Source organism: Homo sapiens, chromosome 17 (genome assembly GCF_000001405.40).
Source record: "Homo sapiens chromosome 17, GRCh38.p14 Primary Assembly".
Lineage (NCBI taxonomy): Eukaryota > Metazoa > Chordata > Mammalia > Primates > Hominidae > Homo > Homo sapiens.
Genome location: NC_000017.11, coordinates 35,645,720 through 35,664,229, shown reverse-complemented (window position 1 = coordinate 35,664,229; position 18,510 = coordinate 35,645,720). Strand labels below are relative to the sequence as shown.

General features: G+C 38.2%; 1 protein-coding gene across 16 annotated transcripts in view; it reads right to left on the bottom strand.

The window, feature by feature from the left end:
- Positions 1-18,510, bottom strand: part of AP2B1 (adaptor related protein complex 2 subunit beta 1) — a 139,092-nt gene that overhangs the window by 62,184 nt on the left and 58,398 nt on the right. For 13 of the 16 annotated variants that reach the window (XM_011524450.3, XM_005257938.4, XM_047435509.1 and 10 more), the window contains 2 exons: positions 13,441-13,700; positions 6,439-6,631 (listed from right to left, as the gene is read on the bottom strand). In XM_011524450.3, coding sequence (XP_011522752.1) covers positions 6,439-6,631; positions 13,441-13,700 — 453 coding nt within the window. Of the gene's footprint in view, positions 1-4,109; positions 4,467-6,438; positions 6,632-13,440; positions 13,701-18,510 lie in introns of those variants that run through there. The other 3 variants (XM_047435512.1, XM_017024287.3, XM_005257941.4) reach the window with 1 other exon arrangement.

Here is an 18,510-nt window from a genome sequence, read left to right as displayed (position 1 = left end):
CATTCTAGGGAGGAAATGTATTGTTTGAGTGGTTTTGATAGGAAATTTTCAGAAGAAGAATGCCTGCACATCATTTAACTGCCCTCAAAGTACTACTGCTTTATTACAGCTCACTGGTGAAGAGATGGGAAACGGAGATTTTTGTGGTTTTACTTAAATGAAAATAAAATGACCAGGCATAGTGGCTCATGCCTGTAAATCCTAACACTTTGGGAGGCTGAGGTGGGAGGACTACTTGAGCCCAGGAGCTCAAGGTTGCAGTGACCCTGTCTTTAAATAAATAAATAAGGATAAGATGAACAATCTGTTCCTCTTGCTGCAAGAAAGGTGCATGAACTTACTCATTATTCAGTCTCTTTTCTTCATGAATGAACACACTTCTGTAGTCCTTCTCCAACTTTCATGTGACACATTAACCCAAACTCATATACTCAGGGACCTGGGATGTACACCATCAAGAGGCCCAGGGCAAGCAAGCTGTATTTTTTATCTTAAAGTCATGCAATTTTACATTCTAAGTGGTAACACACCAGTGTATATTCTGTTTACATTATTTACCATCAAGTAAGACTGACACTGCAAGACAATGAGCCATATTTATTCTGCAGCTTCAAATGCACCCTGCACTCTGCTGTGTACTCCAGAGACTGCATTTCCCAGTTTGAGAAGGACCAGTTAGGTGAAACTGTATTCTATTCTGCAAGATGACAATAACAAACAAACTGGAAAATCATAGGACAGTATAAAGTGTACAAACTTTGAAGTTTTAAAGAAGCCCTGGGTTCAAATCCCAACTCTGCAACTTACTGTATGACCTTCAGTTTTCTGTAAAATGGGGTCCAATACCAATTATCTTCTTGAGTTGTTCTGAGGATTAGAAATTATAAAAATTCTAGCACAGGGACTAGAACTCAGAAATTAGTAATTATTCTCAAAACTGTCTGAGGCCAGCCTTGACTAAACGTATGCACTGATACAAAGATGGTGGTTATGGAAGCCTCACTGAGAAATTTAACAGGCAACAACTTACAAAGATCTTTCCACATAACACAAACTCTAAAAACTAAACTTTTAAGTCATTGCAAAGCTCCTCCAAAGGAAGAAAAATAAAGATGCAAAACTAGTATAGATGATGGATTTCCTGTGGGCTAAAAAATCTCAAAACTATTAATAAATAGCTTATGACTTAATAATCTGAAAGGTAAAAACCTGAAAGAAACAGTGGGAAAAACATGGACTGAGGGTCAGGAAAAGGCAGTTTCTCTTCAATTCCATACCACTCAAGCTGGGCACACAGCATATTTCTCCAGGATGAAATCCTTCATCAGCACAGAGAAAGGGCACTTTGGATAATTCTTCCTTTCCATTTTTGATATACACAATAGCACTGTTTATGTAAAAGAATAATGCACAGCACCTTGGATGAACAAAAGGCTGTAATTTAGCCAAGGCCTCTGCTGACAGATTGGAAGTAAAGGCAAGAAAATAACTGAGATTCAATTATTACTTCAGTGATCCTCGCAGATGTCAGACTCATGAGCACATAACACATATGCAAGAGTTATACACATGGGCATCAGGTCACCTCCCACACTACACCAAACCAGAAGGATCTGCACGGTGAGAAAAATCACACTACTCAGAACGAGCAGTTTCTTAGATTAAGTACCAGAGTCATAAAAAAAAAAAAAAAAAAACAAACCCAAACCCAAAAAACTCCACATACATGGCTTCCAAAGGAAACAAAAAAAGCCCAAATAACTACTTTGCAAGCAAGCCTATACCTAACTAGTAAACTGTCATGCTCTACATGTAGAGCAGATCAACTGCATAAACTACATTACTTGAATTTACTCCACATCAAAGCGATAGTTCAGTTTGTACTGACAGATGGAATAAACTACCTGTAGAGTACAAGCAAAAGAGAATATGCTGAAATGCGATAAAAAAATAAGGATGTTTCAGTAAGGAGACTAAAAAGAATAGGTAGAAATCCATTTTTATCCAAGTCTTGAGATGAAGAGGCATTCCATTCAAAGATGTCTGCTTTCTTTAAAAAAGCATACAAGAATCAATCACCTGGGGAGCTACAGTATGTTTACTTTCTTTATATCACAGCAATGGCCCACCCTACTCCTCTTTAAAGAATCACCAATGTTGAGAGTCACTACTATTGATGGAGGAAGGCCACAGCTTTCAGGAATGTTGTGGCAAAACATTCCTGACTAGAAATATCAACAAATAAATAATAAATTGATAAGTATTTCCTGACTGTGACAGTTCTACTAGGTTGGAGCAAAAGTAAATACTGTTAATGGCAAAAATCGCAATTACTTTTGCTCCAACCTAATAAGAAAAGGTCACAACTCACTACATCTTAACGCTGGCCGAATTTTATGAGTGTGACAGTAAAAGAAGATGAAACAGAACAAGATCTAAGGGAAGATCACCAGGCTATGAAAAAGGAAGAATAAAAATATCTTCTCATGAATATCAAGTTTTAAGATAGAAGAATAGAAAATGGTTAGACAATCCAAAATATAAAATGCCCTCAATTTTCGGTCTCCAATTATGGCAAGTAAGCAAGGATAAAAAGGACCCTGGGACTGAGCGACCATATCTAAATTGGTCAAATTCAACTTCCAGTCAACTTCTGACACGATGGATAACCTCACAGAATATCATAACAGAAAAATATTCAGGGGGAAAAGAACAAAAGTAAAGTCAGAGATATCTGTTTTTGTAGGAGGTGCCAAAGAGGATCTCGAGAATATGATTCTTCTGTGGCGGTCACTGTCTTGGCTTAGAGATCAGTTTTTAACATCTCTACCTAACTCCATTTGGAATTTCATTTGGTTTAATGTTCTCAACACTGGCTGCAAGATTAAAATAACCCAGGTAACTTTTTAAAAATAGCAATGTCTAGGTCCTGCCTCCCAGAGGTGGTATTTAATTACTCCTGGACTCAAGTATTGATAGTATTTTTTTTCTTTATAGTTTCAATGGCTAGAGAGTATTTTTTTTTAAACTGGTAATTATGTGGGACCAATTCTGCAGATAGAGTTGAGAACCATATGGTCATCAGGAACCAGGCAATACTTTGTTAGCAGTACACCACTGGCCTCTATGGGTGAGGTTCTGTTAGAAACCCATGATAAAAATAGAACCAACAGTCTAGTGGCCTGGTTGATAGCCTTCCTGAAATGATCACTGAGCTAACCTAAACGCTGCTTCCCAAACCACCACACAATTCTAACTATGGCCATATTTTAAACAGGGGTTTGGGTTGAATTCTACCACTCCTAGCTACACTATTCTCCCTACAGGGCAAAAGAAAGAGCTTTAACAAAATAATTTAATAAGTTTCTTGCCCTCTGAATTAATTTAAGGGAGAGGAGGAGCCCTCTTTCCAGAAGTCTGTTTACTACTGAAGTCAAGAGAAAAAGGGCCAGGCGTGGTGGCTCACGCCTATAATCCCAGCAATCTGGGAGGCTGAGGGACGTGGATCACCTGAGTTCAGGAGTTCGAGACCAGCCTGGCCAACATGGTAAAGCTCCGTCTCTACTAAAAATACAAAAAATTAGCCGGGCGTGGTGGCGGGCACCTGTAATCCCAGCTACTCGGAAGACTGAGGCAGGAGAATCGCTTGAACCTGGGAGGTGAGGTTGCAGTGAGCCAAGATCACACAACTGCACTCCAGCCTGGGCAACAAGAGTGAAACTCCACCTCCAAAAAAAAAAAAAAAAAAGAGAGAGAAAAAGAAAAAGGTATCTGAGCATCTAGGTAGCTACAGTTCAAACACTAAACTGAAGTAGTTCACAGTGGTCACAAGATATTCTATGTCCTTACTATGCAAAATGTGGCCCATGGACCAGCAGCTTCAGTGTCACCTTGTTAGAAACGCAGACTCTAGGTCTCACTCCAGACCAACTAAATCATCTCTTGCAGGCTCAGTGTGCTGGCTCACACACCTGTAATCCCAGCACTTCCAGAGGCCAAGGCAGGGGGATTGCTTGAGCCCAGGAGTTCAAGATGAGCCTACGCAACATAGTGAGAACCCATTTCCACAAACTAAACAAAACAAAACAAACCCTCTCTTGTACAAAATCTTTAGGAGATTCAAGGTATATAATTTATTTTGAGAAGCACTCTGTAAGGCAAGGATGCATTCAAAAAATGGCTTTGAGGATTAATCTTCTCTTTAGGTAATTTGCATAAGAACAATAAAAGCATTTTAAAAGTCCACTGCCGCCTTAGAAACTCATCTTCTTCCACACAGGCAAATTTAGGTCTTCCTTGTGATGTTCTCGAAAAAGGAACCTTGATTCTCTGAGTGAATATATATTTAACCACATACGGATCCAAAGCAAAAATAAGGGCTTTAATTTCTTCTCATCTTGATTTCTGGGATATCTTTCAATCTCAGAATAAGCTGAAGAAAACTGCACTGTAAACAATTTCTGGGGCTGTAACACCAAGGATACCATTTTAGATCCCAAAGTCAGGAAATGTTAAAATTTAGAGTTACATAAAAACATAACTGGGCCTATCTAGCAAAGGTTGCATATTTAGAAATCCAATTAGAAAAACAACAACTTTCCCATCCCCAAAAGAATATCCCTTATATAAAAAAAAAGGAAATAGGCCTGTGTGCAACTTTGGCTACTACAATCCAAGCAGGTTCTAACAGCTTTTCCCTTTGATACAATACTTGCAGGAATTCTAATGCAGATGACTGGGCAGCTATGTAAAATATGATGACAAAACCCATTGGTTTTGGAGTTGGCATGAGCTAATACAAAGTCAAATGAAAGTAACATGTCTCTTTTTTTCTATGTTTATAGTGGGTCAAGCAGGGTCCTGGGTCTGGCAACATGAAAAGGCAGGGCCTCTTTCTCCCCTCTATCCCTTGAACTTTGTTTCTCATTTTTAGGTTCAATGAGTCCACCTTTACTAAGCTTCCCCACCAGGGAATGTAATAAACTTGAGGAGGATGCAATATTTAATTTGTGGTTGAATGTGAACAGAAAAGGAAGAGCTATTTTAATTTTATAAGGGATTCTTAGGAGCCTCCATGAACATTTAAATATTTGTCACTCTCCGGAGTCTATAAGGAGGCTATACAGCAATATAAGTAGAATGATCATATGAGGAAGCTATTCAGTCAGTTTCAATCATTAAAGATATGAATATAAAAAGTATTTGCTTATATTCCCAAGAAAGACAACAGAAGTGCTCATTTGTGTCAATATAAGCTGGAGTCCACAGCTTGGTCAATGTATAAATTCTAGAAGCAGTGATTTTCCATTAGTAAAATGCACAACCCACAGAGATATGACTATAACCCTATTTCCTTAGACTCTCTGCTAGCCAAAAAGTAAATGAACCTCTACTGGCTGGTATAAATCCCAGACATAAAACTCCTCATAAAGTAGAAGAGAAGATGCCAGTATATGCAGCAGAGAGTGCAGTTGTTTTGTGTCTGTCATCTCTGGGAACACATATTTTCATATCTAAGATGTCAGCCCTCCAATGATATTGGTAAATAAATCGTTGTTGGGCATCTTTATAGTCATTGGGTTGACAAAAATCTCTTTTGCAAGGGTCTAGCTAGAAAAGCCTCTCTAATTCCACCACAGTTAAGTACCTACTATGTAGGCAGTCTTGTAATAGACTTGTTATTTTTCTGGCCTTCTCTTCATAGATTGATGGTCACCCTTAAAATTCATTTATCTTGTACAGAAACAAAAAATAATTTTGGTTCCCATTGGTGGCAAATGTTCGCAGGTATTCTGGACTTTGGAGCCTTTTAGTATTAGAATCCTGGAAGCTAATTAAATTGGAAGTATGATAGAATGGAGTAGGTGGGGAAGAAGGGAAAAAAAGAACCAATCAAGCAGCCCTTCCCAACTGTAATAAAGGTACATTTTACTTAAAAAAAAAAAAAGAAGAAGAAGAAAAAAAAAGGCTGCCTCAAAACCTTTCAGAATTAGGGCATAAGTAAATAAAATATTAAAAAGGCAAAGGTTTGAAAGCCTCAAAATAGGATGATTTGTGTGAGGTCACTTTAATGCCGTTCAGGTCAAAAGGAGAATTTATGTGGGCTATCCAGAGTTAAGAGCTAGGAACAATAATAAACTCTGGAAAAGATACTAAACATTAAAATTGCTGAACAATAGGATGGTTAAATGTCAAAAGTTCTATTTAGAGGCAGGACAATGAAATAATCCCATACACTTGCAGACATACCCCATTACCGATGATGAACAGTATTAATTATAATTTTGTCTTACTAAAGACAAAGAATCCTGTCCTTTATCAAAGGACACTACTGCTCATCAAGGAAAGGTCTAGTTCTAAAAAGCTGAATAATTTAAAACTCTCTAGCATATCAAGAACTAAAAATAACCAAAAGAACAAGGGAAGAAAGATGCTTACCAGACTATCTAGTCCTCCTCCTAGGAGATCCACTGCTCCCATCTGCATGGAGGACACCTGTGGCACATTGACTGGGGGACCGAGGTCAAGGTTTAAAAGATCCCCTAGAAGATCACCTTGAGAGGGGATAACCTGAGGCTGTTCCAGGTTCGTTGCAGTGGTAGTGCCAACAGGGCTGTCACCTGCATCAGTGCTAAAGTCACATACACATAAAATGGAGAAAAGAGAAAAGTCAGTTTCACCTAGGACATAACATCGCAACAACAGTGAAACATATAGCTATATATAACTATCAAATACAAGGGGGAAAAACTCTCTGATTTTATAACCATTTGTTTATGTTCATGAAGAGATAATAGCAATTCTTATTTTTATCAAAATACAGCTGCTAAAATGAAAATAAATTATATTATGTAAACCTTGTCAGTTATATAATATAATTGGTCAATTTTAATTAAACGTCTATGAGGGAACACTGTAAGGAGAATTCTATGGTTCTCTGTAGAAACTGTAAAATATATGGTTCCTGCCCTGAATGGCTCACACACCAACAAAAAAATCAGCATTTACAAAATGAATAAAAAGCAAGTTTACTGTGTAACAGCAGAAACATGTATTGTGTGTCTGCATAATTGATAGGATATGAGAGAGAAACACAACAAAATCAACGGTGCTGATTCTAAAAGCTTCTCGGAATGGTTTTATGAGGAACTACCAGAGAGAAACCTCCAAAGAGGAAGAGAAGGTTTGTACAAAGGCACAGAAATGAACAATTTGACTTTAGGGGTGGTGAAAAAATTATATTGGCAGGAGCAGAGTTTGGGATTGGTAAAATTTGGAGGAAGAGAGAATAAGGAAAATAAAACTTTGAAAACTAGTCTGGAGAGTTGATTTTTTTTTTTTTTTTGAGACGGAGTCTCGCTCTGTCGCCCAGGCTGGAGTGCAGTGGCGCCATCTCGGCTCACTGCAAGCTCCGCCTCCCAGGTTCACGCCATTCTCCTGCCTCAGCCTCCCAAGTAGTTGGGACTACAGGCGCCCACCACCGTGCCCGGCTAATTTTTTTTGTATTTTTAGTAGAGACGGGGTATCACCGTGGTCTCGATCTCCTGACCTTGTGATCCGCCCACCTTAGCCTCCCAAAGTGCTGGGATTACAGGCGTGAGCCACCGCACCCGGCCAAGAGTTGATTTTTTATATGATAAGAAATGCAGAATCACTTTTATTTCTTGAACAAAGAACAGAAACTAAAAATAACATTAGAGAAACATTATTCTAGCACCTGTGTGTATAACGGACTGAAGTTAGGAGAATGGACATGAAGATCAGCTAAGAGTAATCTAAACTGCTACTGTAATCAACAATGTATGAAATAACAACAACTCAACAGGCAATAAAAATAAAAAGAAAGTGGTGAGTTTCAAGACATGTTAAAAGGACTAGGTAGGACAAACGATGATCTTTTCAATAAATGGTGCTGGGTTAACTGGATAGCTATGTGGGGGAAAAATGAACCTTGGCCCCCTATGGTTCACAAGGTAAACAAAAATTGAGATAAATCAGACATAAATGTGAAAGGTAAAACCTAGTTGAAAACCTAGAGTAGCATCTTTATAAGCTTGGAGAAGATAATGGTTTCAACAAAAAGCAGTAGCCACAAAAGAAAAAAAGTAATAAACTGAACTTCATTAAAATTAAGAACATGTCTTCCAATGACACCATTAAGAGATTGGGAAAAGATATTCTCTACAAACTGAGAGAAGATATTCACAACACATATAACTAACAAAGGACTTGCATCCAAATTATATAAGGAATTCCTACAAATCATTAAGAAAAAGACAAATCATTAAAAATAGGCAAGTCTCAAAAGAGGATACAGTAACATGAAAATGTGCTTAGCAACTTTACTCATCAGGAAAATGCAAATTAAAACTATAACAAGACACCACTATACACTCACCAGAATGGCTAAAACTAAAACTAAACTACCAAGCATTGCTGACAATGTAGATAGATGTATGGAACTCATACAGTGCTAGAAAGAGTATACACTGGTACAACTGCTTTGGAAAATTGGCAGTGTCTCCTACAGCTAATTAGAAACCTATTCTATGATCCAGCAATTCTACTCCTAGGTATATGCCCAAGAGAAATATATACATAAGTCTACCAAAAGACAAATACAAGAATATTCACAGCAGCCACAAACTAGAAATAACCCAAAGGTGCAATAGAAGATATAAATGGTATATTCATGGAATGGAATACTACACACCAATAAAAAGGAGCAAACTACTAAAAACACAGATTAATCTCACATTATGTTGAGCAAAAGACACAAGACACAGAAGAGTAAAAACTGTAGGTTCCATTTATAGCACACTCAGGAACAGACAAAATGAATCTATAGTGATAGAAATCAGAACAGTGGTAATCTCTGGAGTGTGCACACTGACAGTAAAGGAACACGAGGAACCTTCTAGGGTGCTGAAAATATTCTATATCTGATCAGGGTAGTGATTATATGAGTGTATACATATGTAAAAATTCATTGAGCACTAAATGCTAAGATTAGCGAGCTAATCTATTACTAACAGATTGGACTAATCTATTACTTAATAGAAGCAATAATGTTAATATAAGTAACATGAAGATATTCTCCACTGCATAAGCTTATATCAGACCGGAATAATCCACTGACAGCCTAATATTAATAAACAATATAATAAACACCCTATTATTTATACTGTTAATCCAACACAGGTATGCTCTAAGGAAAGATTACAAACAGTAAAAGGAACTCGGCAAATCTTACCCAGCTTGTTTACCAAAAACATCACCGCTAGCATTACCAGTAGTAGAGGCACTGCCTGCCCAGTGACATATGTTCAACGGCCGTGGTATCCTGACCGTGCAAAGGTCAGGCAATAACCTTAATGCTAAGGTTATTATAAATTAGATGTCAATTTAAAAAGTAAAATTCCCACCAAGAAAATTCCAGGCTCAGAGGGCTTCACTGTGAATTCCTCCAAACATTTAAGGAAAAAGTAAAGCCGATCTTAAATAAACTCTAAACGAGACTAGAGAATGGCAATTGAGAAAATATGAAAGTAGGTTAGCCTGCTTATTGGATGATATTAAGTAATTATGTCCAATTTTGTTAGGCTTGATAACATTGTAATTTCAAGTCTTTATCTGTTAAAGATACCAAGTACAGTACTTACGGGTGAAGAGATACGAGGTCTGGGATTGGATTTAAAATATTTGAGCCACCTCAAAAACAACTGTATGGGCAATAAATGAAATAAGACTGGCAAGATACTGATAACTGCTAAAGCTGAGTGATAGGTATATCCAAGTTTGTTATACCATTCTATCTTGCATATTTTAAGATTTATATGATAAAAAGTAAAACAAAACAAAAAAACAGGCGGGCACAGAGGCTCACACCTGTAATCCTAGCACTTTGGGAGGCCAAGGTCGGCAGATCACCTGAGGTCAGGAGTTTGAGACCAGCCTGACCAACATTGTGAAACCCGGTCTCTACTAAAAATACAAAAAAATTAGCTAGGAGTGGTAGGAGGCAGCTGTAGTCCCAGCCACTCAGGAGGCTGAGGCACAAGAATCACTTGAGCCAAGGAGGTGGAGCTTGCAGTGAGCCAAGGTTGTGCTACTGCACTCTAGCCTGGGAGACAGAGCGAGACTACATCTCAAAAAAAAAAAGTAAAAAAAATTGTAAAAATTTAATTAAAAAACAAATGTTTTCTTTAAAAAAGCCTAGTTAAATTTTGACACAAACAAAAACTAAGAAGCAAAAGATTAGCTAATAATCACAGGGGACTCTAGAAGGACGACAGGAAAAATTATATGTGCAGGTTTCAATTCTGTTAAGATAAGTAAGAAAAACAAGTAGAGAAGCCTGACAGCAACAAGGGACTGGGCTGGGCACGGTGGCTCATGCCCAGAGTCTCAGGGTAGAGCACTGGGGTCGATAATTCAGAACCTGTTCATATTCCAGCCGGGCGCAGTGGCTCACGTCTGCGATCCTGGCACTTTGGGAGGCCAAGGCAGCTGGATTACCTGAGGTCAAGAGTTCGAGACCAGCCTGGATAACATGGTGAAACCCTACCTCTACTAAAAGTACAAAAAAATTAGCTGGGTGTGGTGGCACACATCTGTAGTCCCAGCTACTCAGGAGACTGTAGCAGGAGAACCTCTTGAACCTAGGAGGCAGAGGTTGCAGTGAGCCAAGATTGCACCACTGCACTCCAGCCTGGGCTATAGAATGACAGTCCGTCTCAAAAACAAAACAAAACAAACAAACAAATAAACAAACAAAAACAAAACCAAGGGACTGGCAGTCAGAGCTAGAGAAGTAAGCTTGGTTAGAAATTCACATACACATCTCAGGTGAAATCATGAGGGTGTGGGTCAGTGTAGGATGGTGGTAAAAACAGGGGATTAAGTGTTGGCTCCATTAATTACTAGCTGCATAATTTTCGGAAAGCGACAACCTCTGTGAGACAAAATTTCTTCAGTGATAACAATATCACTGAAGCATAAGGTTTTATTAAAGCAAGGATCAATTGAAAACATGGTCTAAATGGTAAAGCTCTGTAATATATTAGTGGTCAGTGGGTAATTTCCCTAAGGGAATATGTAGAGAAACACAGAAAGAAAGGGTTCAGATTGAACCTTTTGATACAACCAAGATTAATAATCAGAGAAGAGAAGAAACATGGAACTGCAAAGATTAAAGACAGAAATACAATCTAGGAAAGCTAATTTACAAGGAAAGTGTCCAGGAAGCCATGATGAAAAGGCTTTAAGAAAGAAGTAAAAAGGGGAAATGATTTCATACACCTGACAAGAAATAAATAAAATCTTTCACAGAGTATTCTCTACACATGAAATTCTGTCATCTTCTGACATACCATTTAGAAAATGTGACAGAACACATGGTTCTATCAGTATGTCTAAAAAGAAGGTAGAATAGGTATCATGCACATATTTTTCTTCACTCTAATGGAAAGGAATGAATAATATGAGAAGATAAAGTGAGTTCAATGAAAAGATATAAATGATCCTATAGATTCTACAAGAATATGATACATCATTATTATACATCTTTCTCAATGGAAAATATAAGAAAATTAATATAAAGACATTTCCAATTTTAAGGGAAATAACTGCATAACTGTCATTAAAGCAATATTTTTTAAAGGTGAGATTTTTCTGAATTAGACAACTATTTACTACCTCACCCCCATAGAGCAGCTGACAAGTATAAGCATAGTAAGCAATATCCAAGTAAAAATCACTTCTCTCTTTCCCAGATGATTTTAAAAGACCTAGTGAAGTGAGTATTTTTAAACCTCTAGAAGATGCAGAATAAGGTTTAAAGTGTTGCTTTGTTTCCTATGAGAGGTGTATCACTTATTAACCTCACATTGCAGAAGAGAGCTAGGTAATGTCAATACTATTACAGACATGTCATTTGCAGCAACGTATCATTCCCATTTATATCAAAACAGATTTTCCCTGTACTTGCATTTTTTTAAAAAACACAAAACATGCACAAATGACAAAAAGGAGGTTATCCAAAAAGGAACCACAAAAGAAATTGTGAAGATAAGAACTTAAAGGCTATTAATCAGATAAAGGCCTTATGTAAGACACTTTCTTTTTAGACAGTTTAAATGTTGGTTCTCTCCCTGTGTTTAAGAAAGCGTTGTTTTTGTTTGTTGATTCATTTCCCCACTTCCATGTGAGGGTTAAAAGTTAGCAGGAGGCTAGATACAAACACGGTTACAGAGGGAAGTTACAACAGAAAATCCGTATCTACATCGAAACTTGAAGCACAGACTGGGAGAAATTCTTAGAAGTTAAATAGTCTCATCTATAGAATGTTAAACATGTTTGCCTACAAGGAGAAACACCCTAACTTACTATAAAGACTAATCCTTATGAAGCTCACATCTCCTCTGGATTAAAATTATAGCACCTGCTGTAAACCCAAAGATTCAACTCAATTATGAAAGATTAATAATCTCCTTGGGTATTGCTGTTTTTTTTTTCCTTTATCTGTATCCACAGTCTATTTACATAGAACCCAAAATGCTGACCACGCCAATTTGTAAAGCAATAAATCCTATACTTTGGCCATTCACAAAAACCACTTAAACAATAATATATATTAGACAATGGTACAAGACACTCATTAATAGAAGCCCAATTATTCTAACTACTCTGGAAGGAAATCCTACTTCAATCAAGGTCTACTATGATTGATGAAGGAATCAGATTCTGAAAAGATTCTGAGATACCCATTGTAAGAGTTTATTAGAGTGTTTCTTCTGCCTAATTAGAATTTTAAGATAGCTACAAAGCAAGAGCTCCATGTTACCCAAGAGCCTTTTCATAACAATTTCCTTGCTGATATGGCCAATATAAAAAAGTACAGGTAACTGAAAAACTAAGTCCACATAGAAGTCAGGCTTTTTTTTTTAAATAAAACAATACTGAAATATTATTTCATTAACAGCTTTACAGCATAAGTTATACCTGCTAACTATCCAGAAGGCTCAACAAAAGCTACAGTAATGGATCAAGATGGCTAAATGTATACACAGGCTTTTTTCCAAGTTTTCAACTATGGGGTTATTTCTAGTCTCTTCTTACTGCAGACTTAAGCAACTTTCAGACTTTATCAATTTAGAAGGTCTTCACCACAATTTTCTAAAGCCATAATGTACTCCTAGATTGGAACACAGAGGAGTCTTTCACCGATTTTATGTGTGGTCACTGGTATTCAGATGGAGCTCCCTGGGGTTGTATAGTAGTAGGTGTCCAAAAATGTACAGCAGTTCTTTTCCAGACTATAAAAGCATAAAGAAGCAAAAATGTACAGCAGTTCTTTTCCAGACTATAAAAGCATAAAGAAGAGCAACGCTGTCTAAACAAGAGTCATTTCTCACTCAGAGACAGTTCACACCTTCTTACCTCCCATGATGAATTGGCAAGTGTTTACGATGAATTCCATGACTTCCTTCCACAAAAGCATTGGGAGGCTTATGATACACAGAGGCCAAAGAACCAATGTGGCAGATTAGCTCATCCAGCAGAGTTGGCTCAATAAGGTCCGTCTCCTCAGAGATCAGTGGCTTCTCAGACAAGACTACTTCTTTAGCTGTAACAGGGTCAGTTGAGAGAAGGCGCCAATAAATATAGCCCCGGTCTCGAAGGTCAGGATTATCAGAATCCTAAAGAAAAGGCAAAGGCAAGGAGGTGGAGATGAAACTGTTCTCCATACAGAAACCCAAACTGCTGGATTTATCATCAACCAATGTTGTAGTGATTTATGCAGACTGGGTATTAAGAAGATACTTCAGGCTGGATGTGGTAGCTCATAGCTCATGCCTGTAATCCCAACACCTTGGGAGGCTGAAACAGGCGGATCACTTGGACCCAAGAGTTTGAGATCAGCCTGGGCAACGTGGCAAAACCTTGCCTCTACAAAAAATATAAAAAATCATCAGGGCCAGCCAGGCGCAGTGGCTCATGCCTGTAATCCCAGCACTTTGGGAGGCCAAGGTGGACGGATCGCTTGAGATCAGGAGTTTGAGACCAGCCTGGCCAACATAGCGAAACCCCACCTCTACTAAAAATACAAAAATTAGCTGGGCTTGGTGGCGTGTGCCTGTAATCCCAGCTACTCAGGAGGCTGAGGCAGGAGAATAGCTTGAACCCAGGAGGCAGAGGTCGCAGTGAGCCGAGATCACGCTACTGCACTCCAGCCTGGGCAACAGAGTAAAACTCTGTCTCAAAAAATAATAATAATAATAAAAGTACAAAAATTATCAGGGCGGGGTGTAGAGCCGCATGTACCTGTAGTCCCATCTACTCAGGAAACTGAGGGAGGAGGATCACTTGAGCCCAGGAGGTTGAGGCTGCAGTGAGCCATGACTGCACCGCTGCACTCCAGACTGGGCAACAGAGTGAGACTCTGTCTCAAAAAGCAAACAAATGTGTTAACTCAACATGGTCCTAATATAGTCATAATTCTGTAATCTCTAATGTTTCAAGGGATGTAACTATAAATTAAGATGGGTTAATCCTAAGACTCAAATTCAAACAGAAATAAAGAATAGAAAAACAATGTTTAATCTGGCAAAAGTTAACTGGTTGAGACGGCCTTAGGACATAAAAATTTTTTAAACTAGGGCCGGGCGCGGTGGCTTACGCCTGTAATCCCAGCACTTTGGGAAGCCGAGGCGGGAGGATCACCTGAGGCCAGGAGATTGGGACCATCCTGGCTAACACAGTGAAACCCCGTATCTACTACAAATACAAAAAATTAGCCAGGCAAGGTGGCACATGCCTATAATCCCAGCTACTCAACAGGCTGAGGTAGGAGAATCACTCGAACCCGGGAGGCGGAGGTTGCAGTGAGCCGAGATTGTTTCACTGCACTCTCGCCTGGGCAATAAGAGCAAAACTCCGTTCCAAAAAAAAGAAATTTTTTTTAACTGCTTTAAATATTAGCAGGCTTATTAATAACATATATTATATCTTCCATATATTGTACCCATACCTTCTTCCTTCATTCAAATATTTATTAAGTATCTCCTATTGAGACACTGGCTAAGCCCTGGAAATAAAGAGGTAACAATACACTGCCTGACTTTAAGGAGCTCACGTAATATTAACTATTTCAATAGAGTATGAAAGGTACTATTATCTAAATAATCAAAAACTGCTAAAGAGAGGACATAACTGCTTCCAAAAGGAGTAACACTTGAATTTGGTGGTCTTGTTTTGTGCTATGGTGGTTTTTAAATAATTGTATACATGTTCATGGCTAAAAAGAAATTATTACCAAACATACCACATCACAATTTTTAAGTGTGTGACATAAAAAAAAAATCTCCCCCAATTATCCAACCCTTCTCCATCTCAACTCCCAATCCCCCAAATAGCCATGATTAGTAATGTGGTATATATCTGTCCAGATGGGTCACACACACACACACACACACACACACACACTTATTTCATATAAAACCAGTTTCATATTATATATACTGTTCTGAAGTTGCTCTCCATGTTGATATATACGACTGCACTTTTCCACTGTAATGCCCACTGCACCATTAATTATTAGTCCACTATTGAGGGACATTTTCACTGTTGCCCATTTTTCCCTTTCTACCTTTATTATTGTTTTATTTGTATGTATGTATGTATGTATGTATGTATGTATGTATGCATGTATTTTGAGACAGAGTCTTGTTCTGTCACCCAGGCTGGAGTACAGTGGCGTATCTCGGCTCACTGCAACCTCTGCCTCTCGGGTTCAAGTGATTCTCCTGCCTCTGTCTCCCAAGTAGCTGGGATTATTGGTACGCACCACCACACCCAGCTAATTTTTGTATTTTTAGTAGAGACAGGGTTTTTCTATGTTGGCCAGGCTGGTCTTGAACTCCTGACTTTAAGTCATCCGCCCACCTCAGCCTCTCAAAGTGCTAGGATTACAGGCATAAGCCACCGTGTCTGGCCTATTGTTTTCTTTATTGTTTTTGTCATCATTATAAAGTGGCAATAAATATCCTGGTACCTACCTCAAAAGTATGTCTATATGATGGCATTTATTTATGCACGAGTTGTTCCAACAGCAACTTATTAAAGGCAACAATAAGTCCCTGTTTCAATTTCTATATTTCAAACTCATAACCAGACCGGGTACAGTGGCTCATGCCTGTAGTCCCAGCTACTCAGGAGGCTGAGGCAGAAGAATCATTTGAACCCAGGAGGTGGAGGTTGCATTGAGCTGAGATCAAGTCACTGCAGTCCAGCCTGGATGACAGAGTGAGACTCTGTCTCAAAAGAAAAAAAAAAAAACAAACCCCCAAAACCCAAAAAACTCATAACCAAACAAAAAACATTTTCTTTAAAACAGGACAATCTGAGGGCTTCCATTTTAGTTTCTAAGCGAGCAGATGAATTGATTCACGATTTAGCCACTTAAGGCCCTTATCATCCAGTTCAATAGCAGTAGTTACCCTGATGTTTTTGACTATATAGATTTAAATGGTTTTTCTCAGTCACAGATTGTTTAAATTGCACTCATAATGGATTGGTGGTTAAAGACGAAAAGCATATAGAACATTGCAATACAGCAAATTAATAAAATATTAAAACAGTAAATTTTATCTCAAGATAATCTTTACATTTATAACTTGCATTATTCTAATAGAAATGTGTGTATGTGTATATGTATATGTATACATATGAATGTCTTATCAAAATGTCTCTAGTATTTGAAATGCCCGGGTTAAAAAAAAGAAACAGTGATAATTATATCTAATTTAGTTGATTTTGTTTGTGTGTGTGTGGGGAGGGGGGGCACTGAGGGACTAATTTGCTCCTAAGTGTTTATAAATAGCAGCCTGAAACCTCCTCATTTAGATCTTCATTTGAAAACAAAGCTTGAACATTATAAAACAAAAACAAGTTGATATTTTTAAAAGAGCAGAATACAAGTTTCTCAAAATATCAGGTCAGGGAAGCAACTCCTCTCTCCCACATTTTTTTATATGTAACTTAAACGTTAAATTTTAACCTATATATGCAGTCCTTAAGGCACATGTACTTTAGAATTTGTAAAGTATGGTTTTTATTACATAATTAAACACTGCATTTATCTTATTAACTTAGAAAATTCAGTTTGTCTTTATGGACTAGTAATATCTTAAAGGTATTCAACTTTATAATACATAGTTTAATAATATACTCATCAAAATAAAATGCTTTTTCTTCAAATTATTTCTCCCATATGTAATGTAAACAATTTAACCAAATGACCAAAAAGAAAAATTCCTATAGGGATTCACAAAATTCAAAAATCTCAGCCAGGCACGGTGGCTCAGTAATCCTAGCACTTCAGGAGGCCAAGGTAGGCTGATCACTTGAGGCCAGGGGTTTGAGACCAGCCTGGCCAAGATGGCAAAATCCCATCTCTACAAAGGGTACAAAAATTAGCCAGGCATGGTGGCAGATGTCTGTAATCCCAGCTACTTGGGAGGCTAAGGAGGGAGAATCACTTGAACCCAGGAGGCGGAGGAGGCTGCAGTGAGCTGAGATTGCACCACCGCACTCCAGCCTGGGTAACAGAGTGAGACTCCATCTCAAAAAAAAAAAAAAAAATTATATATATATGAAAAAAATTTGAGAGTTCCTCTACAGATTATTCAAAATGCTGCAATATGGCAAACTACTGGAGATAGAGTTACTGGATCAAAGTCTAAACAGACACTAACTTGAAAAATACAATCCTATGAGAAATGAGTGCAAATCTCCCAAGGCTGAAAAGTCAGGAGTAGGGAAGAATCTCCTAACTGCTCAAACTCTGTCGTTCTGAGGGATGACCTGTTAGGCCTACTGTAAGCCAGTCCTCACCAACTGCCTCACATTTTACATGGAGGCCACAGTAATTCAGACCGTCAAGACCGAGATAAATAAAAATACAGGACCTTTTTGTAATCTTAAGTTGCCATTAAATGTTTGGTGACTCAGATAATTTGGCTTTGGATCTACTGTACTGCTAGACCCATAGGCCTTCCTCAGGGGAAGAGGTCCCAAAACAATACTTACCAGGCCAGCACTAAAACAGTAATTCTTAAACTATAATGTGCATCAACATTTTAACATACCAGGAATGCCACTGAAAGTGCAGAACCCAGGGGCCATACTTCAGAGATTCTGATTCATTACATCAAAAGTAGGGCCTAGTAATTAGTATTTTTAACAAGCAGCCCAAATGATTCTGATGATGGTGGCCCCTAGTTCATAGACAGAAAAACATGAAGACTTCTATTCCATGTATCACAAAGAATAATTACTAACGTCTAGACATTTTTTTGTTTTGTTTTGTTTTGTTTTTTGAGACAGAGTCTAGGTCTTCTTGCCCAGGCTGGAGTGTAATGGCACGATCTTGGCTCACTGCAACCTCTGCCTCCCGGGTTCAAGTGATTCTCCTGCCTCAGCCTCCCGAGTAGTTGGGATTACAGGCGC